Here is a 27,100-nt window from a genome sequence, read left to right as displayed (position 1 = left end):
AATACCTTTATTCTTACCTCCATATTCACTTGTGACATTTTCCCATAACACGAATTCTACATATACATGAACACACTTACAAAAAATAGTTTAAAAAATTAACTACATTTTAAAAATTAACATCTGATTACCATTTTATTTAAATTAACTTCTAGAACTATAAAAGTTTAAAAAACAATGTTTAAAAGCTGAAGAGCATTGCTTCTTGGTCTTTTGGCTAAGATCAAGTGTAAAAGTTGAATACTTTACGTATACAAGGTACAAAGGCATCTTATTGCACAAAAAGTTTAGATCCCATATGCATCTATCATTTGAAATATGACTAATAAAAAAGTCTTTAACATTTTTTTAATGGGAAGAATATTCATTTTAATATGCCCCAAGATGTTACAGAACTTAAAATGAACAAACTTCAGTCAGTATAAAACAGATTTATTGTCAACATTCAGTCATTAACACAACCCAGGTAAATGAAACATCACTCCATACAAGGCTCATATATTCTTTACATGTGTACTATAAAATGATAAATACTTAAAAATTACAATGCAAGGAAAAATATTGTAAGATATACAATTGTTACAGACCCTTGTGTGAAAGTTCTTTATTTTTAAAGTTCTGCCTTAGGGAAAATACCATGCTACATATCAGAACCCAAAATAAACTGTTTCCTGAGGTTACAATGCTCAATGGTATACTGGATGCACCCTAAAATACTGTGTCTGACAAAAATTAAAAGAGAGACAGCCTTCAATGATGTTTAGAAAGAGGGAGAGTGACAGAGAGAGAGAAGAGTAATCAATTATTCTGTTGATTTCTGCTGGAATGGCCTCATTAAACAATTTATAGCACTGACAAGAGGTCTGTACCCAAAGGGAACAAAACCAGGACCAGTCTCAGCTTTACATAAAGGATTTCCAAATCAGACTAACTGACACAGTTCTAAGGCACTGTTACCAATGCTTGTCACTCTTCAACCCTTCACAGAGACTTCTTGTCTTACGTCCATGTTTTTCTAATTTCTTCCTAAGGGTTTACCAATTATACTTCTGTTTTCTATCATCCTAAATCCAAACCAAAAGACATTAAGCAATACAATAAAATCTACCAGTCTGGTCAGTTCTAAAGACACAAATTCTGGTTTAGACATTAATCATAAGACTCAAGTATATCTCTCCCCCTTCCACACACGCTCCCACCTCCCCTTACATATTGATCCATCTCAATTTTGAGGAAATGCTCAAATTCTAAGCAAAATTTCAGGATTTTTTCCCCCAATCAGTGATTTGACTGTTGGCAAGCTGCTTTGGTGGGCAGCAGTATAAGAAATTGTTTGGAATGCCTGGCTAGAACAGATAAAATGGATGTGATCAGTGAATTATTGTAACCTATTGTAGTAAACAGATGGATGGGAAGGATTTACCTTATGAACTTCCCTCACTCATTTCAGAAGGGAGAAAATTATGTCTTAATAAGGCAAGAAAAAAATCAGATAAGAAAATACAGCACTTTGGGAGGCCGAGGCGGGTGGATCATGAGGTCAGGAGATCGAGATCATCCTGGCTAACATGGTGAAACCCTGCCTCTACTAAAAATACAAAAATTAGCCAGGCATGGTGGCAGGCACCTGTAATCCCAGCTACTCGGGAGGCTGAGGCAGGAGAATCGCTTGAACCCAGGAGGCAGAGGTTGCAGTGAGCCGAGATCACGCCATTGCACTCCAGCCTGGGGTACAAGAGTGAGACTTCATCTCCAAAAAAAAAAAAAAAAGAAAAGAAAATACAGTAAAATATTAATACTGTAGTGACAGCAAGGAAGGGTAGGATTCTCAGCACCCTACCTTGCTGGGAAAGTTTCTGGCATAAAAGTCAAACTCTCTACCATCAATCTTTGCACAAGGATGGACAGTTGCTTACATCAAGAGGGGCAGAAAGCCACTTAAATACTTTTCTTCAAAGATGAGACATTCCTTTTTGAACTGAGCATTAGAGAAAGGAGAAAGAATTAGGGAAAGCTCACTCAAAGAGGTCCTCAAACATGCGTTGTCCCATTGCTATATATGCTTCCTTTTCTTCTGGTGTCATCTGGGCCACTAGCTCTGGCCGTTGGCTCACTTCACTGTAGGAGAACGGACGGCCAGCCACCATGACAATGGGGTCATCTGCTACTTCTTCAAACTCGTCATCTTCCTCTTCATCCTCTTCTCGTTTATGCACAGCCACAGCTGCCGGACGGGGTGGAGAATCATCATCTGACTCACTGGTCTCGCTTTCTGAGTCACTGCCATTGGCAGCGGTCACTGGAGCAGCTGCCCCCACTGAACCAGCCATGGCAGAGGAAGTCTTTTTCTCGTGAATGAGCAGTGCTCGCATGACCTCTTCGTTGTCATCAGGCCCAGCATGGCCTTCCTCACGCTCCTGAAATGCGTCCATATCTATGCCCCCTGGGGAGTAAAACTCAGAAAGTCAATATCCTTAAATATAAATGGCATTTCTTTATAGCATATAGACAATATTTTAACATATATTTAAATAATACGATAAAATAACAGACTTCACTGGTTCCATTTTTGAGCTGCTATCCATAAAATATTCAAAATATTTCTTACAAACTGGAGCTTAAGTAGCATAATGGTCAAGTACATTGGCTTTAAGAGTATTATAGCATAGATTTGAATCCTGGTTCTTCTACACACAAGCATCTTGGGCAAGTTATTTAATCTCTAAACTTCAATACCTTTTTCTGTAAAATGAGGTGATAAAAGCATCTACTTTCTAAGGTTCTGAATAAAAACATATAAGATAATGTCTATGAAGAATCGACTAGAGTAGCTGGCATAACAGAAAATCAAAACATGGCTCTTTATCTCACTCAAGGTAAAAGCCAAAAGCTTTGCAATGGCCTATAGGGTCCCACATCATCTGGAATCCTTCCTGATCATCTACCTCTTACTTCTTTCCCCTGCTCATTCTTGTCTAGCCACAGTAGCCTCCATGGTATTCCTTGTACATATCAGACACACTCCTACCTCAGGGCCTTTGCATTACCTGTTCCCTCTGCCTGGAATATTTTTCCTTTAGGTACTCACACAGCTAACTCCCTTCCATCTTTCATGTCTTTATTCAAATGTTACCTTTTAAATGTATCCTATCCCTACATTCCCAATGCTCTATTTTTCCCCCATAGCACTTATTTCCTAACATAATGAATAACTTACATCTATTGTCTTTGTCACCCCCTTTCCAAGGATGTAGGTTCTACCACAACAGATATTTATCTTGTTTATTCATGGATATATCCCATTTACCTAAATAGTACCTGCCACTCTGTTAGGCACTGAATAAACATCTGACAAATGAGTGAATAAATGTGAGTTTTATTTTCATGAAGCAAACTAAGCATACTTAAAACTCTTTATAAAAAAAGAATCTAATTTTAGGAATGAAGCTTCTCTCACCACACACCTCCTATCATTTTGTGTACATATCTTACCTGATATACTGCAGATGAAATATTTAAGAAAACCATCTGCATTCTGCATTCTGATACTACTACCAAACATACTGCCATTTAAAATACATAAAAAGATTAAAAGTATTGTTTGGAACCTGACTCCCTGATTCAAATCCTAACACTATTTAGCTGTATGATTCTGGCCAAGTTATTTCATCTCTCCGCTTCAATTTTCTCAAGTACAGAAAGGGGGAAAATAGTATTTACTTCACTAGATTACTGTGGGGATTAAGTGAATGTCTGTGAAGTGTCTAGAATGGGCCTGGCACTTAGAATAGTGTTATCTATCATCATCGTCATCAAGAGAAGACTCAGAAATGGTCAATTCTGACTATGGATAAAGTGAAAGCATCTTCTCATTAACACATTAAAATGAATTAGCTAAATCCCTGGACATTTTAGAAGGCACAGAACTCCTAAAATGAGATACTGAGCAGATAAGAGAGAGAAAGGGAAACAGAAGCAGACAAGTTAAAAGTTTAGGTCAGAGAAAAGAGGCTTTTGATAACATGACTGTCAAAATGAGAGTTAAAATCAAACTTAACTACTTCAAAATATTGTCAAAGGCTGAACCTCCTCCTTAGAGCTTACTGCCAATGCAGCACTACAACAGAAAGAAAAGAAGGTAAGGAATGCATGCAAGCCTTTAAGACAATAATTGCTTCTAAAAGAATGTTCCAAATAGTTTAATAATATCAACACAGTATTTTGATTAATGTTTAAGTATTAAATTAGGGAAAAAGAAAATTAGTTTTGTAAACTAAATTAAGTCACACGTAACAGATTTCTGACAAGGGTCTTGAGAGGTTTGGAGAAAAAAGAATTATTCTGTTACAGATGAAGACAGAAAACAAAAAACAAGGATAAATGAGCAAATTTCTGGATGGTAAAGTAGAAACAGTGGTTCTAGGAACAGCCTTTTTCAACAGAGTTATAAATTACAAAGAAGATGTATACTGGGAAACTATATTCACGGAATTGATGCTAAGCAATTGTGGGTACTGAAAGGCCAAGTTGCAGCAAAAAAATATAGGAAGAGCTGAAGGTTGTATACGTGGGCAGAAAAGTAGCAGATCTATTTCTATTTCAGCAAGTGCAAGAAAATCAGCCTGCAGAAAAATAATCTAAAATATACTGAAAGATATGATCCAAGCTATTGGATTCAAGGCACAGAAGAACCTAAAAAGTACCTCTACGTGTTTCTAGAAGTTTTTGGTCTTAACATGCTTCCAGAACCAAAGCAACAAACAAAATCTCAAGTAAAAACCAGAAAGATACTGGAAATAAAACTCAAATCAATGGTGAATCCATGCATGAACAACATGTATCATTCTGGTCACTATGTCTCAAGTAAAGTATATTACAATTAGAGATGGTCCAGAAAAAGACAAAAATAAACAAAAACTGTAGGAGGTGGCAGCAGTGGAAAAGAGAACTGTTTAAGGAAAACAGAATCAAAAGGAATTAGAACTTTCTTCAGTATAGTAATGAGAACATGATTGAAGTCGATACAATTGTGAAAGATATCAACATGACTTGAAGTTTGAGGAAAATCAAGTGTTAAGACCCACTTCATACATTCACTGGATAGAGTCTGCTCTACTATCAAGAAACTTAGGATAAATTCAGACATGACAACATACTATCCTATTTTATGCAGAAATAAATATTTACAAAACTTAAGTAGACCAGATAACTTATTTAAGGCCCATATGATTCATATTCTATCATTTTAGGAACTGTAAACTAGAATGTTAAACTTATGAGCTTAATATATAATGTTGGTTAATAATAATTTTATTTTATTCAGTTTTCTTCCTAAGTTCAAAGAAAAGAAGGCTGCTTTAAGAACAGGCAAGAAGCCAAGTTGGGGAAAACAAATTTATTAAGTAGTAGTATAGCCTAACTACTGTATAATCTAAAACAACTTCAATCTAAATAACACAACAGGCTGGGCACAGTGGCTCATGCCTGTAATCCCAGCACTTTGGGAGGCCGAGGCAGGCAGATCACTTGAGGTCAGGAGTTTGAGACCAGCCTGGACAACATGGCAAAACCCCGTCTCTACTAAAAATACAAAAATTAGCTGGCCATGGTGGCTTGCGCCCAATTCCAGCTACTCAGGAGGCTGAGGCAAGAGAATCACTTGAACACGGAAAGCAGAGGTTTCAGTGAGCCAAGATCGCACCACTGTACTCCAACCTAGGCAACAGAGCGAGACTCCGTCAAAAAAACTAACATGGCAGGCTAATCAGTGAGGAAGAAGGAGGGTAAAGTATGGTTGCCTTGGAAAACCTTTTCTTATTAAAATTAATATATCAAAGAGAATCACAGTAGAGGTATTAGCTGCTTTACCATCACTACCAAACTCCACGTTACCTTCACAATTTCTAGTATATACATATACTAAATGCTAATTATGAAGGGAAAAGAGGCTAGGAGAAACGCCAAAAAACAAGTGGTTTTCAGCTACTGATTATTCTTTGGCACTAACATATCACCAAACTCACGTGATATGTTAGTAATGATATATTAACTTGGGAGTAGCGGCACATTGATTGTTACACTGATAAAATTCAGCAAGAAATAGAGACACCCTTCCTCTCTACTTTCCAGCTTGAGTCATCGTCATCCATTTTTGCCTCCCATTTTCTACATACTCCTAAACCATCATCACTCAAAGTCTTGAATGCAGTAACTTAGACTAAAACTTAGAAAGTAAAATCTTGCAGTTCTCTAACTTCCGAAGATTAGTATGCAATTCTTAACCCTTTATGCCTCAGAAATTTCCAAAATCCTCTAGAACAAAGTTCTGCTAACCGTCTTGGACTGTGAGAATGCTCAATCCTTTATTCATGTGGTCTCTTTGTATCTATTTCAGGTAGCATACACTCCTTGGTATTTATGAAGAGAAAACATAAAGTTTGGGGTAGCGTATAGTTTTGGCTCCCAATTCAGAAAAATTAAATGCATATAAGTCAGGGTAATATAAGATTAAAGGAAAGGTGAGTATGGCTACCTTGAAAACAACAGATAGCATTTTTCCAAGAAATTAAGATAAAAAGATGACAATTTTTCAAATCTAAAAATGAAAATTTAAAAGGCTATTTGTTATTTTCACTAAGTTGAAGGGCAATGGAAGTATACTAGTTGGTTTTTATCTTATTGTTCAATTTCTTACTTCCTAATATAATGCAATTAATTGTTCTGTAGAACAGATCCAGAATTGCCCAGGCAGTTTCCCACTAAGCCAAGTTCATGTTCTACAGAACCTAAGACACATCCATTTTACTGACTTCTACTCTTACCTTCTTTCATATCTTCAGAACCATATGCCCCTTGGACAGTGCTTTCTCTCAACCAAATAGGCCTCTCTTTGGCAGATTTCCCTTCCAGTGAGGCTCGATGAAGATCTTCTTGGTCATCCATGTTAATGACAACATTCTGAGTGTATAAGTCTTCATAGGAAGGACCTTTGGTGGCCCATGCTTCCCGGTGGTGCCCACCTGCTAGGCTAGCAGCTCCAGCAGTAGTTGCTGCATGGTCCTTGCTATATAAAAAGAATAGAGGAGTACAGGAAGAAGAAAAATTAATGTCTTGGTGTTGGAAAAGAAGGGCAGCTAGGGAGGCAATTACTGAAATACTACATGTAAATGCTACCTAGCAATCATGCACACATGCTTTAACAATTCCAAGAAAGTGCTTCTATACCTCAGGGTAAAAGTTGTATGCGTTAGAAAAACACATCATATTTATATTTAAGTTCCTCAAACATGGGATCCTCTGATGTATATAAATGACTGAGGTTTTATAGATTTAAGATGTTTCAATAAATCTATTAATACTTGGAGAAGGAGAAAGTGATATGGTGACATCATCTACTTAAAGCCACTAGTCTGACAAAAATCTCTCCCAGTATTTTGTTTAAAAAACAAAAACAAAACACATTGTATTTTTAAAAATGTTATCTCAGCTCAACCCAGAACAATTCAAAGTGGTTCTGTGTGCTTTTTCCTTTCTTTTGTGTGCTGATCATGGAAAAAGCTAGAAAACTATTCTACAAAGCCTGACCTCAACCAACGTTCTTCTCCCACCACTCATGCAGTAAGGTATAACCCTCTGCACAAACTAGCTGCTTTTCTATGTAGTTGTATGTTTCTATCTCCACATCTATGCTGATACTCTGTATCCATCTCCAACCACTGATTCTACTCTGCAGTAACAATGGTCTGTTTTTCTCAGTCTATTTTATTTTGCTTTTTACTTTTACCACCCACGATCTTCTTTGTCTGTTAGCCTGTTCCATGTCTGATCATTTCCTTATCTTCTAGTCACTTAAGTTCCCCCCAACCTCTGTGTTAGGCCAAGTTTTCAGTATTTCTGATGGTTCCCCATTTTATCTGCCTGTTTCACTCTCAATCTGTTCCAAATTCTTTCGAATATGCCTGATTCTCTGTCTGAGCTCATGCCTTTCTCTGCCTGCTACTGATGCTTTCCACTTCAACTTCTACGTATGCTTCTCCACCTCCCGCTCTGTCCAGCTATTTTTTATCCTGTAACCATCTTCATGTTTCTTGAACTGCCTGCTCACTCCAAACCTTTTGGGTGTTTCTTTCAGTGTCCATGACTGACCTGGTCTCACGTTTCTCCTTTATTTTTCGTCCGTTTTTCTCACTCTTTTCCATGGATCCTGAATTATCTCCTGTGTGGAGCCCCGACTCATTCTGAATCTAATAAATACTTCATTAGTCTTTCCTCCTAAGCCATTCACTATTTTGCCTTCACTTTTGTCTTACTTCATCTCTGCTTACTCCCTTACTCTTCACTTGTTCTGGGTCCACTTCTTATCTACTGGGGTTTTCTAACTCATACTTAGCTGAGGTCTGTGTCCGTGTATCTGATTAGCCCATCACATCTTTCCCTAAATTACACTGTGTTTCTGACCATCCTCTGGAGGTAAACTTGGGCTTAGCTCATCCCACCTATCCTGTCCTGCCTCTGGATATCTATAGGGCCATGCTACTTGTGCAACAAAAAAATAATGTTATCTCCAGTTGCCCAGTCCACACTGATCCAGTCATTTAATCCATGCCTTCCAGGTACTGCGTTTGCATACTTTTCATTATTCCACCTCTGTGCCCAGGGCTACTTTGTAAACCACTTTCTCCCACAGCCTTTTTCTTCCCGGTGCCTGTTCTACCTGTTCCATGTCTCAATCACTTCTTTTGCCTCCTCACTGCTCCTACTTTCTACCAGTTATTTGCTCTCCACTCTAAGTCTAGACCTATGAGGCATCTCTCTGTAAATATATCCAATCCATCTATTTTTTTTTTTTTTTTGCTATATTCTGAAGTCTTATGCTACAATTGCACATAACTGGTTTCTCTCTGCTATTTCTTTCTGCATTCATTGATGTTACTTTGTGTATCATTTCTTGTTCATCTCAATTTAACCATTAACTGTCCCTAGTCATTCTCTATCTTCTATCTGTTCTGTGTGGTCTTTTAAAGGCTATGTGGCTGCCTTCACTGTAATATGATGCTGCTTACTTTGTATAGGTTGGCTTTTCGAACTTTTCTCTTCTTCAGCATTCACTTTACTTTCTCTTTTCTCTTGGTCTGATCTGGTTTTTTATGTTTCTGTGCTTATTCTACATTCTGGCCTCTCCTCTCACACCCATTTGTCTCTCTGACTCCTTTCAATGCCTCTTCTATCCTCAGCCAACATCCCCATCTTGATGTGCTGAGCCTGCTCTATATATCTGCCACCCCAAAATGTTTCTCCCTGAGTTAGCTAAACCCACCTGGGAGAGACAGAATAGGCATATTTCTCTGATCTGGCCAACCACATCCTTATCTTTCCTTGATTCAGACTTAAATGACTCACTCACTCTGAGGTTACTGCTTCTCTTTATATATAATCCTGAACACAGAGTTTTTCTCTATTCTCTATCTTTAGCATTGACTACAAAGACTGTCTTATGAAGGTATGAGGAGTACTTTGAGAAAAACAAGAAAGCTAGAGAGAAAAGAACAGAATTAAAATAAATGTTAACACAAGAGTACTTTTAAAAAGTCTTTTGTTTTTAGTATTCTGTCATAGAAATTCAAGATGGGTTTTATTCTAGTTTGAGGCAGCAGACATTTGACCATAAGTCAAACAAATTTTAAAATTTGGAACAATTTTAATTGAAGATGACAAAAATGACAATTCATGTTTGAATCTTTTTATATTATTTAATAAATTTTAGAACTTTTAAAAGATACAACTCTTACTCAGAGATGAGAGGGGAATATTATTTCAAAACTAAATTTTTAAAAATCTTTAAGGTAAGTGTTAAGAGATGATGAAAAAGGGAAGGTTACTAGCAAGGAATTCCACTCTAGAAAGATAGGAAGATTTTTATATCTCATCAATAGGTTGACTTGCTGAAAGGATAGAATTGTCCATCAATTCTTGGGTTAGGCCTACTGACAGTTCTGCAGAGGTAGCCCCTAGTTTCTGATCTAGGGACAAGCTAGAATTTAACTGATTACAGATCAGTAATCAAACTAATAATATTGCCACTTATTTAAAAAAAGAAAAGCTATCATCTCTGAGTTCCCATACCATTCTATTGATGCCTCTTCTCTTGTACTGAGGCAGGATGGACTATTACATCCTTGGGGCAGGATGGGCCATTTCAAAACTTCATACTCCTATAGTACAGAAAGGCCAAATCAATACCACCTCCAGGATGTTATATCCAAGCAGTGGAATTTGTCAAATGCTTTGGTGGGGACATTATAACCTGGGTAACATCTTCTAACCTAATGGTTTTTTTCCTGACCACGTGGAAATGATTTTACTTTGGTCTGGCTGGCAGCTCTAGGAACCCCATTCTGTCTTTCTTGTCTGCCTCCATTTCCTCCCTTTTTTCTTAATGACCAGATTTTTGGGTATCCTTTTTTCCTGATCAGTTTATTTCCTCTATTTCCTGGTTCTTCTTCATCCCTGGAGTCACCATCATTCCTGATAAGAAGAAGATGACTTGATACAGAGAGCTGCTGTTGGGCCTCTGGTGTCACTGTACCACTAAGACTCATCCAAGGCCTGCAGTGAGTGGGGGATATGGAAATAAAGATCCTGGAAGGGGAGCTGGATTGTGGTAGGTGGAGAACATTAGAGACAGGAAGCCAGTGGTGGTGGTGACTGAATGCTATTGTAGTGGGGAAGCATCTTGATAAACAGGACAAATAACTACAGGTAGGAGAGGAAACATCAGAATAATTCAGATAGTATATTGTGTAGGAAGCAATCAGATACTACACTGACGCATACTTCAACATGAAATAATCCATAAGCTTAGAAAATTTTGTATTTTTGTAAAATCAATTTCCCTCATAAGCTTGTATGTTAGAGCTACAATATAACTTAAAAGGACTGAAAAAGATACAAAAAGAAAAATTCCTTTTTCAAAAGAGGAATTCCTTTTCTTACACAAAAAGAAATAAATAACCAGTACCAAAAGTTAAGGCTATCTGTGATACAGATGTTATTAGTTTCCTATCAACTGTGGCTCCTTTCTTTCTTTGCTTATTGGTTTTATTAAAATACCAATGGCAATTTGCTCCAAAGAACTCTGGGACCTTCCCCAGTCCTAGAAGGTAAACCTTAACTAGTCTAAGTACCAGTCATGTGATCTCATTTCCTTTGCCAGCTGCTGGTTTAGAAATATGCATATAAAACAATTGCAGCCAGTGAGACATCAGGGGATAAATAGAGTATCCTAGGGAGCCCTCTGGGAAACCTTTCTTCAGTTTTAAAATAGGACACAAGGAAGGGACGGTCCCTTTTTCTGCATTTGGACATTGTCATCTGCACGTGATACCTAGAAATACATGGCCATATTAGACTAGCTCCCCTCATGGTCCCAAGAGGATAATCAACAGGCTGAGTTCAGCAGAGTATAAAGATGGAACAAATCTAGATCCCTGAAGATATAATTGAGCTGTGAAATTAACCAGTTTTGAACTGTACTACTTCAAGACTTCTAGTCATGCAAGACAAATTTTCTTATTGTTCAATCTACTGCTAGACTGGATTCTAATTCCAACTAGAGCTGGATATTCTGTTATCACAGGCAAAGGCATCCTAACTGACACACGGTACTGGATTAGAAAATTCATAACTCTTACAGATACAAAATTTTCTGTAGAATTGGATTGCTTTGAACCATCTAAAAGGAGCCCAATTTACTCAGGACTGGCTATTCTGTAACATCAGTACCACAGGAAATAAAATACTAAGAATGCTCCTAAAAACTATACAAATACAGCCTGATTGTTGAGCTCTTTGGAAGGGAGTGGGTGAAGTGAAGGTTAAATAAAGATATCCCTTACTTGATGCTGGGAAGAGGGAGAGAAAAAAAAGGGTAGAGTAGGAGAGCACTCCCTGACCCCAATTTTCATTTATGCTTTTCAAGAAAGAATATAAACCACCTTTTCTGGCATGGCAAAACTAAGGTTACCTCTGAAATTCAAACATTAGGGAACACTGATAAAAATAGGGAGCCACTGTTAGGAGTATTAACCCATAGGTAACACCAGCTATACTTTACTTTCAAGGAAGTTGCAATTACAACTAAGAAATAAAGGTGATTAAAATGCTTCAAAAACAAAAAAGAAAATGCTGAATTCCTTAAAGGCCTTCAGCCTTCAGAAGCTGGCTAGGAAAATTCAAATATCCCCAAGCGGCACAACTAATTTAGGATTAGCTAACAATTGGCTGAGTTGCTGCAGTCCCAAGCAGAATGAGTACTTGAAGTCAAACCTAAATATTTAAAGATTTTTGCCTGAAGTCCACAGTGTTCTGCATTTAGAACAAACGAATTTCATCACAGGCACACGTTAATCAGACAAATGTGGCACAACTGAGAACCTACGTAACATTACAGTCTTGAGTCTCCTAGTAAATTACCCACTCTTGTTCTCCAAGGTACAGGTAGTTAAAACAAGAACAGGTTGAAATGTGTTCTTAGTAAGAGCACAGGGCCTACACTCACCTCTGTTTCAGGGCTGGGATTTCTGTGGGTTCTGGCTCAAGTATTTCATAGGCCAAGTTCACATCCTCTGTCTCCCGAAGCAATGCATAAATGGGCTCAATTTGTTCATTAAACCTTGCCAAAAGTGTGCGTGCATCTTTTTTGGGCATTGCTGATTCATCCTCTTCTACCTCTGTATGGCAAAAAGTACAGCGGAAAGTTCCTACAGAGAAAACAAGTATCTCAGGTCAGAGAGAAGACTTTAGCAGATAGTTTATACCTCCACCCTCCCCCAATATCTTATTATTAAAACTTTCAAATATACACAAAGGTTGAAAGAATTTCACAGTGAACAGCCATGTGACCACCATTTAGATTCTACAATTAGCATTTTGCTATTCATCACATATCTATCCATCTATCATTTTTGATGTATTCAAAGTAATTTCATCCCTAACTTCAGCATAGTTTTTAATCACAATATTTCTAATATGTATTTATTTTAACTTAAAGCCAAATTCTTTACAGCTTACCACCACAACTTGTACCCTTTCCTGGCAGCTTTAGTCTTTTTTGTTTTCACATTACACATTTGGGCCTACGTTATGGGGAAAGCCAAATAAATACCTAAAACCAAGAGTTTCTAGTCATCCTGAACATTGTCACAGGCTATTTTTTAAAATTTATTAACCATTTGTATCTAATCAATTCAATCTATTATGCTAAAACTCACACTCTTAAACATTACTTAACAGTCTACACCACTAGCCACACCTGGATTTCCAGTTTGGTTCTTATTCCCAAAGACAGGAATATGCATCCTTCCTTTCTGACTCAACTTACTTGAAAGATTAAAAGGGAACATGTAAGTACTTAGTGTCTGGCAAATAGTTAAGTACTCAAACATTTAGCTATAAAAGGCCCCATGTATGATTGATACATAAAGAACAAACAACCAAGTGATCTCTACTTCAACATAACACTAGATCCTACTGATACATTACCAGTATAATAATTTTCTTTACTGCCCCTCACACATAGCCAATAGCATGTAAATTATTTGTTCAAATACCCTAAAATACATCTTCTTATTGTCTAAATGCCACCTAATCTACATCTATCCCAAATAAGTGAGAAAGAGAGAGAAATGCAGCCCTTCACAGCTAGGAGGTGGCTCAGCACTCACAGCTAGACTGTGGCATTTTTCTGTCAAACAAGATCTCACAGATCACTAACATCAGACTATGATGGAAGTGAGGCAAACCCAAGCCACTGTGGAATTGCGTCTGAGAACAGACAAAAGCAAGGACTCCATGCAAACCACAAAAAATCCCATCTTGCACAAGTGACTGCTGCTTCTTTACCATTTAGTTTTAGCGTCACTCTGTTCTTGTCACCTCCTAGATAAGATTTATGAAGATACCCAATCATAGAATTATCCCCACTTCTTCACAGCATCCAATCCAAAGGAAACCTTCATCACTTCCCTGAATCCTCCCCAAAATTACCCAACAAAAGCCCACATTCTCTAAGTCTGTCCAACATCATCTTACCGACATTTCATGGTTTCCCCATGGTATGTGGCTTCCCTTGCTGCAGAAAGCATCAATAAACCTAACTTTGTTTACTACAGGTGCGTACCTGATAGCTTTTGACTAATGGTCACGAACATAAAGATTATAACTTAATCAACTGGACAAGAATACTATTATACCAAAGTAAAGAGAGGAAGAACTAGCTTTTTTTTTTTTTTTAGGTAAAAGATATCAAATTGCTTTAAATATAAAAATGAATATGTAAAAAGCCAACTAATTACAAATGCTAACAATTCAGCTCAAGAGAGGGGTTTAGACTACAAATTTAGATATGAGAATCAACAACCTATAGGTGGTAACTGAAGCCATATAGTAGATAGAAGCATCCGAAGAGATTAAGGAGAGTGAGAAGAAGCAGTTAAGGCATAAACTCAAGGAATGAGGAATCCTTGAGAAAGAGAAATGGTGCAACCAGAGTGACAGGATGGTGTTTCAAGGAAATGTATGGTCCTAATATTAAGAGGCCAACAAGAGTTGAAAACTAGCTTTTATATTTGGTAACAAAGGGTAAGAAGCAACCTTGGCTAGAAAGGTTTTAGGTAGAATGTTATCTTATATTATTCTCCAACTGTTCCAAGCTGTCTCAGCCTCTTCTCTTCAACAGAAGCAAGGAATATAATCATGTGGGGGCTTAAAAATAAACCACATAAAGTAGGGTTGAATATAGCTCTCGAATACCTGCTGAATTAAAAAACACACCAATGTGAGACTGGGACTTAAATTGACTGTTGAAAAATAAGCACCTACAGAGACTGTCAATGAGAACTAAGAATAGTTTGGAAGACAAGTTATCTAGTTCTGTAGTTTTCAAAATGTTTTTAAAGAAAGGAATCTCATTTCTCAAATGGAAAGGTGATTAATATATAAACATAAAAGCAAATGCTCTGGGGTAAAGTATAGAAACACAGCTAAGACAAAGGTTAATACTCCAACCCTCTCATTATCTGTTTTCAAAGCATCACAAACCGGCCTCCTCAATGTCTCCCATCAGGCACACTCTGCTGCAGAGCCTTTGCACTGCTGTGCCCTCTACCCAGATGCCTTCCCTCCAGAAAATCACATGGCTCATCTCCAAACTTACTTCAGTTCTTTACTCAGAAGCCACCAGTAAGGCCTTCTGTAGCCAACATTATCTAAAATTTCAACTGTCTTGTCCACCCAAACAATCGTATCCTCTTTCATTTTCTTTTCCCTTAGCATTATCATTATCCAACATGTTTTATTATTTATCTAATTTATCATTAAAAAGTCATGTTATACCCGAATTTTAAAAAAATGTCCTCCCAAATACCCCATTTCTCATTTTAAGACAATATGTACTCCAAACTTCAGCTTTAAGTAAACAAATCAACATGCTTGTCAGTGTAGCTCATCCTCATAAAACAGCAGTGCTTTTATTTGGGGAAAAGAGAGAAAGAGAACAACACTAATATCATTATTTCACAGAAGGACAATCTCAGAATGACAGTCCTTTAACTCGAGTAATTTATTTTCATGAAAAAGAATAGGGGGAAAAATAAAGTATATAGTCATAAGGCACCTAAATTCTAATCTCATCCAAACTTAACAGGAGTTACTTACAGAAGGGCTGATTTTGCAGGTATGAAAACAGCAGCTTTAACATTATTACTAAGAACTGTGAAGGGTCTGAGATTTTACCCTACTTGTAAGCTAACAAGTTATTCTGCCAGTTTCATGGATACTGGCAGAAGACACAAGACCCCAGGTCAGAGACAAAGAACTTCACTACTCAAGGAAATAGCAGTAGCCAGTGTCAGTATTTAAGCCAGTTCCCCATGCCCCAATTTCCATGGGGTGCGATAGAAGGGCCAGGTAACAATTACACATGCAATGGGTTGTGTTACAGGAAAGAGAGCCTGAGCTTAAAAGGAACTCAAATATTTTATAATGGGCATAAGCATGCCCATTCTTTGCACTGGAGGGTGGCATTATCCTTACTTACTATAAACTCTATGTAAACATGCTCTGGAAGGAGACACTTTTTATACTGGACCATAAGCAAACCTGCTCTTTGCTCTGAAGAGAAATACTATCTCTGTCTTGCAAGGCTGCTCGTTATATAAACATCCTTGAAAATGATAGTCCAGGAAAAAAAGCAGTCAGTCTGTATCTCTGCTTGCCAAGACATGCATAACATGTGAGAGACCCATGGAGAATAGTCTCCCAATAAATACCACATCTAGCAAATATTACAAAAGGAAAAGCTAGCCTGACATCTCTGAGCCCTGTGTTTATCACAAAAACATTAGTTATAAATGAGAAGCCTGTCAAAGCCAAATGTAGAATTTCTTATTTTTCTTCTGGGACCCTAAAAAATGCAAGAAAAGTAAGAAATTTGACATTTTACAGAAAATGACTTAAGACCAGTTTAATATACCAGCAGCATTTTTTATACATTTCACTACGCATTGTAAAAATGCAAATCAGTTTTCCTGAAATCAGAAGGGGCAAGTGGCAAGGGGCAGGAGGACACGGAAACCCAGCACATACTATGTAGCAAGCAGGCACCCACGCTACTGAGAGAGTGGTGGTGGCATACACAGACAGAACCAGTCAGCAAGAAGCTTTAGTAGGGAAGAAAGATGTCTGGAGATAAAACAATCAGGGATCAGTGCAAAAAATAAAGTACATAAATGTTTTGGAGTTCAAAGAAGGAATGTGACTTCTAGCTGAGGACACTAGGAAAAGCTTATTGAGAAGGTAAACCTTTTTGAGAGACAGTTTAGAAGATAAAAGATGAAGGAGAAGATGAAGGGGTAAGGGAACAGGACATTCTAGATCATCATAAGAGAAGTAGGGTGGTTGAAAAATGATGTTAGACTGCAATTTCAGTCTGATAGGAAAACAGTTATCAAAAAGAATGATAAAAAACAGACTTAACAAGATAAACTGGGGTGACCATAAATTGGTCTTGAATGATAAGCTTCATTTTGACTTTATTCTTTAGTAATAGGAAAGCCACAGAAGGGTGTTAGGAAAGACACTGAGGTCATGAAAACTAATATTTACATATATTGATCTGCCTGAGTGGCTTGAGATGGCCTCTCAATAAGGCAGTTCTTAACTGAGTGTCTGCATAAAAATCCCCAGTGGAATTTATACTCAGGCTCCATGCCACAAATGCTGATCCCAGAGGTCCAGAATGGGGCCCAGGAATTAGAATTTTTAAAGTTACACAAGGAATTCTGATGCCTACACCTGGTAGAGAGCTGCTATTAAGCAATATGATAAACATCCCAACTTTTCTTGTAACTAGACCATTCTACACTAAGTAGTGTACATAGACTATACTACTCAAGAATGAGAGAAGATACTGAAATTGAAACTCAGAGCTCTGCACAATTTTTCCCTTTTCACATATAAGATCAAGAAGGCAAAACCCAGAAATGGTGAATCCAAGGCATGCAAGGGAGAACATGCAAGCTAGATCTAAGAATGTGGCAACAGAGAGAAAATGAAGGCTACAAAGATTCTTTAGGCAAAGCTTGACAAATGATGGGGTTAGGAGGAAAAAAGGAGTTCTATAACACATTTGTTTGATAAGCTATACTCAGAAACCACAAAAAGAACTAAGAAAGCTACTTTACAAATATTCCTATATATTCATCAGAAGCAAATCTATGCAATAATTCTATCCAAATCTGACATACAAGGAAATGAACGCTTAAGAGGCGTTAAGTTTACCAAGTCATAGCTTGAAAACAAAAATCACTAAACTTGGATTCAAATACAAATCTTTCTGTCTCAAAAGACTAAATTCACTATACTATCCTGAATTATACATTCCTTCCAACTTCCTATCAGCCCTGCCAGCTACAATTTAGCAAACTTTTCCCATGTATATACATTAGCTCCACTTTTCAAAAATATTGAATAGAAGGAGAAAAGATTTATAACAAATAATTTAACAAACATAAGTGCCTGTCACATACCTGGCATTTACTTGGCTAAGTCTTAACCTATCAGGTTTGCCAAACAAATAAAAATAAATCCCATTGCAGATAACGAACAGGCATTGAAAGTGGGAAGAAAAAAATATCTTTTATAAATAGATATTTCAAAGCTATATTTTAGGGTCATATATTCAGTAGTATAGGAATGTCCCAATTTTATAACTCAGGATTCTTCTACAGAAGGTAAGTTATCACTCCACAATGAGAAAAGAAATGGAGACCTAATTGTGGGGATGAGGGGGACAGTGGCAGAAGAGGGAGGGGAAAGGGAAAGAGTTCTACACCATTTTAATTTTAACTTTCTCCAAAATAAAAAAAGTAAAAGCAAAAATGAATTGGGGATGGGGAGGGTGGGGGGAAGGGATTGGTAACAACAATTAAAAAAAAAAACAGTAATGCTCAGCGAAATTTGAAACTTGACATTTTTTCTTTGCTAAACACAGAAGAAAATTTAAGTGGTATATATGATACCAGCCAAGGCCTTCAACTTAACTGCTTCCAACATATTTCATTTTAACAAACATGTTACTCACTGTAATTATATGGGTATTCAGTCAAGAGAATAAATAAATAAATACAAATAAAACCAAAGCAAAAAAAAGAAAACCCCACCAAAAACTTGTTTATTCTCTTGAGTTTGACAAGTACGTGCTCTGGAAATGTATAACTGACAAAAAGGACACAGATACGTGACACTAGGGCAGAAGACATTATTAGTCAAATCCTCAATTAGTCATTACTTAGCATTATATTTTTCTCTCTTCAGTCCAGTATATAAAATGAATAAGCCATCAGCTAATGCCCACAATTCACTGACAAATATTTGTCAAAGGTATCAGTTGCAACTGAAATATTATTCAGTCATTTTTCCCACAAACTTTTAAAAAATCAAAATAAGCTCAAATGCTTTGATATGGCACAGGGTGCTTAAGTGCTCAAGTGGGACTCCTATTGCAGCCCATGTCCTCAAGGCTGGCCAAGGAAACAGGGAAGATCAAATGTCTGCTGCTGCAGAGCTCTCACCCCAGAACAGTGGGTTTGATATCCCCAGGGCTTCTGACATTCAGCCTTCCCAAGTCCAGCCAATCATCTTCTGAGCTACTTTCATGGCCCTCACATTCTAGTTGGGGGTAGTCAAGACACAAAAAAATCACATCCATAGTATATAAGTATTACAGGGGAAAAAAAGCAGGGAAGGAAGAAGGTGAAGGGAAAGGGGTGTTGCTCTATTATATAGGAAACTCAGGGTAGGCCTCTCTCATATAACAATGTAAAAGCAGAGACTTAAAGATGGGAGCAAGTCATGCAAATGTTTGGACAAGGGAAAATAGCATGCAAAAAGGCAAATAAAGTAAAGGCATGCCTGGTGCACACAAAGCACAAATAAGGTGGCTGCTGTGAACATGGGAATAATGATAGAAATAGTCTCCAAAAGGGGAAATTGGGGAGGAAGCAAATAGAAGACTTTATAAATTCTGTTGAGGACTTTGACTTTTCTGAGGGAAAGAAGAAGCCTCTGGAGGATTTTTAACAGAAGAGTGGCATGCTCTGATATGCTAGAAGGATCACTAGTTGCTATGACAAATAGTCTACACGGGAACCAAGAGTGAAAGCAAGGAAACTACCTAAGAGAGCTTTGCAAAATCTAAGCAAGAGATAATGGCATGCATAACTTTCCTGGACAATCTTATGAAAAAACTTTGAATCCAAGTTTTTTACTCCCCTTCACTCAAAAAGCTTCCAGGAAAAAGAAAAAAACAAAAGACATTTCACAGTTCCATGTTAAAACTAAGTAGCTAGAAGCAGAACTCCTAGGATTTCAGTGAGATAAGGAGGAAACTATAAAATTTCAAGACATAACACTAATATATATGATTAATTTTACTGCACTGTAAACATCCAACCACCATATAGGTTAGGAAGCATATTTAGACACCGTTTTCCCCTCCCACTGAATATTTTATGAAATACATAAAACCACCCCCCAAAATTCAATTTAGTTTGTCCTTCCTTAAATGTGAACTTATCTGGATTTGGTCAAATCATGCATCATTCCTCCATTCTGGAACTCATTATAAAGGGGAAAAAAGGTACAATATGGGGGAAGAAGGGCAAAAAACAACAAACTGAAGGATAATACATGGATGAATATTAAAGCTTGCAACAAATTATCTAAATTAGGCCCAAATCAAATTCATCTCAGCATGCAGAATCAAACTCATCTCAAATACCTAAAAGACGATAGCCAATAGAATATATATATGCGGAAGGTAGTGAATTGGGGAGCTTGGAAAAATAAGACTGCTTAAAATTATTAATATTATTCTCCATTATGCCTGTGCGTTTCTGAAGATGTAAACAGAGCATATTTTCTATATGAATACTATAACTGAGGGGTCCCAATTCCTAACCAAGGCTTCTAAATTAACCCAAAGTGACTAACATAATCCTCTAAAACCAGTGATAAAACCCCCAAGCTTCTCCATACTTTTAGAATGTCAAATATGTTCCAAATCAAAGAGTAAGTATAAAACTAGAGTTGAGAGAAGCCATATATGGTATAGAATAGGATGAACGTATCATTTTACACATGCTAAAAGAAGGCCAAGAATGGTTACAGGATTTGCCCAAGGTAACAGTTACTAACATGACTAAGACTAAAAGCCAGGGCTCTTGAATCTTAACATCCTTTCATTTTACTGTCTTGCAGCCACTGCTGAAAAGAAAAGCCAAAAAACTTCTAGAAATGACATGAACACTGAACATACTGATTATGCAAAAGGACCCAACATAATAAGTGTTCTAAATAAAACTATACAATATTATGAAAAGTTGACCAAGCATTACTAACCATAAGCTGTTTTAATAAAGTATTTAAGAATCACTTTGCATCAAAAGAGACAAAGAAGGCCACTACATAATGGTAAAGAGATCAATTTAACAAGAAGAGCTAACTATCCTAAATATATATGCACCCAGTACAGGAGCACCCAGATTCATAAAGCAAGTCCTTAGAGACCTACAAAGAGACTTAGACTCCCACACAATAATAACTGGAGACTTTAACACCCCATTGTCAATATTAGACAGATCAACGAGACAGAAGGTTAACAAGGATATCCAGGACTTGAACTCAGCTCTAGACCAAGCGGACCTAACAGACATCTACAGATCTCTACATCCCAAATCAACAGAATATACATTCTTCTCAGAACCACATCACAATTATTCTAAAATTGACCACATAATTGGTAGTAAAATACTCTGCAACAAATGTAAAAGAATAGAGATTGGCCAGGCGCGGTAGCTCATGCCTGTAATCCCAGCACTTTGGGAGGTCAAGGCAGGTGGATCACGAGGTCAGGAGATCGAGACCATCCTGGCTAACACGGTGAAATCCCGTCTCTACTAAAAATACAAAAAATTAGCCGGGCGTGGTAGTGGGCACCTGTAGTCCCAGCTTCTTGGGAGGCTGAGGCAGGAGAATGGCATGAACCCGGGAGGCAGAGTTTGCAGTGAGCCGAGATCACGCCACTGCACTCCAGCCTGGGCAGAAGAGCGAGACTACGTCTCAAAAAAAAAAAAAAAAAAAAAATGTCTCTCAGACCACAGTGTAATCAAATTAGAACTCAGGATTAAGAAACTCACTCAAAACGCACAACTACATGGAAACTGAACAACCTGCTCCTGAATGACTACTGGGTAAATAATGAAATGAAGGCAGAAATAAAGATGTTCTTTGAAACCAATGAGAACAAAGACACAACATATCAGAATCTCTGGGATACATTTAAAGCAATGTGTAGAGGGAAATTTATAGCACTAAATGCCCACAAGAGAAAGCAGGAAAGATCTAAAATTGATGCCCTAACATCACAATTAAAAGAACTAGAGAAGCAAGAGCAAACACATTCAAAAGCTAGCAGAAGGCAAGAAATAACTAAGATCAGAGCAGAACTGAAGGAGATAAAGACACAAAAAACCCTTCCAAAAAATCAATGAATCCAGGAGCTGGTTCTTTGAAAAGATCAACAAAATAGATAGACTGCTAGCCAGACTAATAAAAAAGAAAAGAGAGAAGAATCAAATAGATGCAATAAAAAACGATAAAGGGGATATCACCACCGATCCCACAGAAATACAAACTACCATCAGAGAATACTATAAACAACGCTACAAAAATAAGCTAAAAAATCTAGAAGAAATGGATAAATTCCTGGACACATATACCCTCCCAAGACTAAACCAGGAAGAAGTTGAATCTCTGAATAGACCAATAACAGGCTTGGAAATTGAGGCAATAATTAATAGCCTACCAACCAAAAAAAGTCCAGGACCAGACACAGCTGAATTCTACCAAAGGTACAAGGAGGAGCTGGTACCATTCCTTCTGAAACTATTCCAATCAATAGAAAAAGAGGAAATCCTCCTTAACTCATTTTATGAGGCTAGCATCATCCTGATACCAAAGCCTGGTAGAGACACAACAAAAAAAGAGAATTTTAGGCCAATATTCCTGATGAACATCGACGTGAAAATCCTCACTACAATACTGGCAAACCGAATCCAGCAGCACATCAAAAAGCTTATCCACCAAGATCAAGTCGGCTTCATCGCTGGGATGCAAGGCTGGTTCAACATATGCAAATCAATAAATGTAATCCATCACATAAACAGAACCAATGACAAAAAGCACACGATTATCTCAATAGATGCAGAAAAGGTCTTTGACAAAATTCAACAGCCCTTCATGCTAAAAACTCTCAATAAACTAGGTATTGATGGACTGTATCTCAAAATAATAAGAGCTATGACAAACCCACAGCCAATATCATACTGAATGGTCAAAAACTGGAAGCATTCCCTTTAAAAACCAGCACAAGACAAGGATGCCCTCTCTCACCACTCCTATTCAACATAGTGTTGGAAGTTCTGGCCAGGGCAATCAGGCAAGAGAAAGAAATAAAGGGTATTCAATTAGGAAAATAGGAAGTCAAATTGTCTCTGTTTGTAGATGACATGATTGTATATTTAGAAAACTCCATCGTTTCAGCCCAAAATCTCCTTCACCTGATAAGCAATTTCAGCAAAGTCTCAGGACACAAAATCAATGTGCAGAAATCACAGGCATTCATACACACCAATAATAAACAGAGAGTCAAATCATGAGTGAACTCCCATTCACAATTGCCACATAGAGAATAAAATACCTAGGAATCCAACTTATAAGGGATGTGAAGGACCTCTTCAAGAACTACAAACCACTGCTCAACGAAATAAAAGAGGACACAAATGGAAGAACATTCCATGCTCAAGGATAGGAAGAATCAATATCGTGAAAATGGCCATCCTGTCCAAGGTAATTTATAGATTCAATGTTATCCCCATCAAGCTACCACTGACTTTCTTCACAGAATTGGAAAATACTACTTTAAAGTTCACATGGAACCAAAAAACAGCCTGTATAGCCAAGACAATCCTAAGCAAAAACAACAAAGCTGGAGGCATCACACTACCTGACTTCAAACTATACTACAAGGCTACAGTAACCAAAACAGCACGTTACTGCTACCAAAGCAGATATACAGACCAATGGAACAGAACAGAGGCCTCAGAAATAACACCACACCTCTATAACCATCTGATCTTTGACAAACCTGACAAAAACAAGAAATGAGGAAAAGATTCCCTATTTTATAAATGGTGCTGGTAAAACTGGCTAGCCCTATGTAGAAAGCTGAAATTGAATCCCTTCCTTACACCTTATACAAAAATTAACTCAAGATAGATTAAAGACTTAAATGTAAGACCTAACACCACAAAAACCCTATAAGAAAACCTAGGCAATATCATTCAGGACATAGGCATAAGTAAAGACTTCATGACTAAAACACCAAAAGTAATGGCAACAAAAGACAAAATAGACAAATGGAATCTAATTATACTAAAGAGCTTCTGCATAGCAAAAGAAATTATCATCAGAGTGAACAGGCAACCTACAGAATGGGAGAAAATCTTTGCAATCTACCCACCTGACAAAGGGCTAATAACCAGAATCTACAAAGAACTCAACAAATTTACAAGAAAAAAACAAATGACCCCATCAAAAAGTGGGCAAAGGATATGAACAGACACTTCTCAAAAGAAGACATTTATGCAGCCAACATATGCATATGCAGCATAGATGACATATGAAAAAATGCTCATCATCACTGGTCATCAGAGAAATGCAAATCAAAACCACAATGAGATACCATCTCATACCAGTTAGAATGGCAATCATTAAAAAGTCAGGAAACAACAGATGATGGAGAGGATGTGGAGAAATAAGAATGCTTTTATACTATTGGTGGGAGTGTAAATTAGTTCAACCATTGTGGAAGACTGTGGCGATTCTTCAAGGATCTAGAACTAGAAATACCATTTGACCCAGCCATCACATTACTGGATATACACCCAAAGGATTATAAATCATGCTACTATAAAGACACATGCACACGTATGTTTACTGCAGCACTATTCACAATAGCAAAGACTTGGAACCAACCCAAATGACTGTCAATGATAGACTGGATTAAGAAAATGTGGCACATATACACCATGGAATACTATGCAGCCATAAAAAAGATAAGTTCATGTCCTTTGCAGGGACATGGATGAAGCTGGAAACCATCATTCTCAGCCAACTATCACAAAGTCAGAAAATCAAACACCTCACGTTCTCACTCATAGGTGGGAGTTTAACAACGAGAACACATGGACACAAGGCAGGGAACATCACACACCAGGGCCTGTCGGGGGTGGGAGGCTGGGGGAGGGATTAGCAGTAGGAGAAATACCTAACGTAAATGACGGGTTGTTGGGTGCAGCAAACCAACATGGCACATGTATACCTATGTAACAAACCTGTACGTTGTGCACATGTACCCCAGAACTTAAAAGTATAATAAAAAAATAAAATTTAAAAAATAAAAAAAGAATCACTTTACATTGTTAGATTTCTAAAGGGCTTCTGGAGGATGGTGTTAGGGATACAAGGTAACAGGACTGGAAGGATAAGCAAAAACTTCGTAGTTTCTCTGTTATGACAGAGAAAATTGGTGGGAGTGCAGTGAGCGGAAAAGCCACAGAGAGGAAAAACTAGTTTGCCATTTTAGTTTACATACCTCTCTACTATTTGTGTCTTTACCAAGTTTTCATTCATATATTACTTATTTTATTTTTTTGAGACAGAGTTTCGCTCTGTTGCCCAGGCTGGCAGTGGCGTGATCTTGGCTCACTGCAACCTCTGCCTCCGAGGTTCAAGTAATCCTTGTGCCTCAGCCTCCGGAGTAGCTGGAACTACAGGTGTGCGCCACCACACCTGGCTTTTTGTATATTTAGTAGAGATGGGGTTTCACCCTGTTGGCCAGGCTGGTCTTGAACTCCTAACCTCAAGTGATCCGCCCACCTCGGCCTCCCAAAGTGCTGGGATTACATGTGTTGAGCTATCGCTCCCAGCCATATATTACTTATGTATTTTTAAAAGAAAGAAAACGAATGCCATATTGAATTCTCCAAAAACATTCAACTCCCTCTTAATCAATATGCAGAAGCTATACAGTCATTCCTGGGCTTTTCTGAAAGCATTATCAAGTCCTTTGTTGCAATTTTTATAACTCATAATGTTCGGGGGAATATCTATTAAAATGTAATTTTGAAGTCTCAAAAAGTCACCTTTTAGTCTCATTCCTAAACTTTATTTTCATAAAGCAAATTTCTTCAGTTTAATTGGGCAAGGGAAAATGTATAGAAAAAGGAGTTGCTATTAGCAAACAGTAACACACATGACAGGAACATAGTTTTACATTACATTTAATTATTTTACCTATAATAAAAAGAAATTTGAAAAATCATCTTATAAAAATTCACCACAGAACACTTAACACTGCAAAATACTCATTCATCTGCATGCAAAAGAAAAAAAAAGCAGATTTAATGTTTTTGAAATTCAGAATCAAATGTATCAATGATTTACACAATACAACCTCACCCTCCAAAATTCAATTTAATCAATGAAATTGGGTTCTACTTCCTTAAACAGGAATTTATCTGGATTTGGTCTAATCATGCATCATTCCTCAATTCTGGAACTTATGATAAAGGGGACAAAAGGTACAATGTGGGGGAAGAAGGGCAGAAAACAACAAACTGAAGTATGGTACATGGATGAATATTAAAGCTTTCAATAAATTCTCTAAATTAGGCCCAAATCAAATTCATCTCAGCATGCAGAACCAAACTCATCTCAACTATCTGAAAGACAATAAAGAATAGAATATTGTATCAAAATCCAAAGCATCAAAACTAAAAAGCAACTCTTCACAAATAAGCAAATAAATTAGCTTTTATGTCACTGGCATCAAAATACAAAAAAGATAAAAGATTGTTTTTTTTTGTTTGTTTGTTTGTTTTCTGAGATGAAGTTTCACTCTGTCGCCCAGACTGGAGTGCAGTGGTGCGATCTCGGCTCACTGCAACCTCTGGCTCCTGGGTTCAAAGGATTCTCCTGCCTCAGCCTCCCGAGTAGCTGAGATTACAGGCGCACTCCACCACGCCCAGCTAATTTTTGTATTTTTAGTAGAGATGGGGTTTTGCTATGTTGGCCAGGCTGGTCTTGAACTACTGACCTCAAACGATCCACCCACCTTGGCCTCTCAAGGTGCTGGGATTACAGGCATGAGCCACTGTGCCCAGCCAAAATGTTTTTTTAAAAAAGTTCTCAAATCCTCAAAATCAAAAGCAGCAGAATTTTAAAAAATCAGACCTAAAGGTTTTGTGGTGGAAGGGTAGAAGAGGGACGATACTTGTTCCTATCTTTCCATAACTCATTTTTATATATATTTTAACTTTTTCTAATAAATTTCCCCCCCTTACTCCCCCCACTCCCCAATCCATACCTTTGAGTTCTGTGGCATAATTGTCTAACCCATGCTGGATAAGATTCCAAAGACTGA

The 27,100-nt window shown here is 37.5% G+C and overlaps 1 protein-coding gene across 1 annotated transcript in view, besides 1 other annotated feature; it reads right to left on the bottom strand.

Moving 5' to 3' along the window:
- Positions 1 to 416: 416 nt before the first annotated feature.
- The window catches only part of GTF2E1 (general transcription factor IIE subunit 1), a 40,326-nt gene continuing 13,642 nt past the window's right edge, over positions 417 to 27,100 (bottom strand). Inside the window, exons 3-5 of the mRNA NM_005513.3 lie at positions 12,557 to 12,758; positions 6,822 to 7,063; positions 417 to 2,443 (exon numbers count right to left, since the gene is read on the bottom strand). Of these exons, the coding sequence (NP_005504.2) occupies positions 2,016 to 2,443; positions 6,822 to 7,063; positions 12,557 to 12,758 (872 nt within the window). The 3' untranslated portion in view covers positions 417 to 2,015. The remainder of the gene's footprint in view (positions 2,444 to 6,821; positions 7,064 to 12,556; positions 12,759 to 27,100) is intronic.
- Positions 2,204 to 2,253: an enhancer, noted in NCBI's record as "active region_20339". NCBI's record gives its function as "activates an Ori minimal core promoter by ATAC-STARR-seq in GM12878 lymphoblastoid cells {active_cell/tissue: GM12878}" and the evidence as "EXISTENCE:reporter gene assay evidence [ECO:0000049][PMID:35858748]".

The sequence above is a fragment of the Homo sapiens genome, chromosome 3, assembly GCF_000001405.40.
Source record: "Homo sapiens chromosome 3, GRCh38.p14 Primary Assembly".
Taxonomy (NCBI): domain Eukaryota; kingdom Metazoa; phylum Chordata; class Mammalia; order Primates; family Hominidae; genus Homo; species Homo sapiens.
This window is presented reverse-complemented; position numbering and strand designations above follow the sequence as displayed.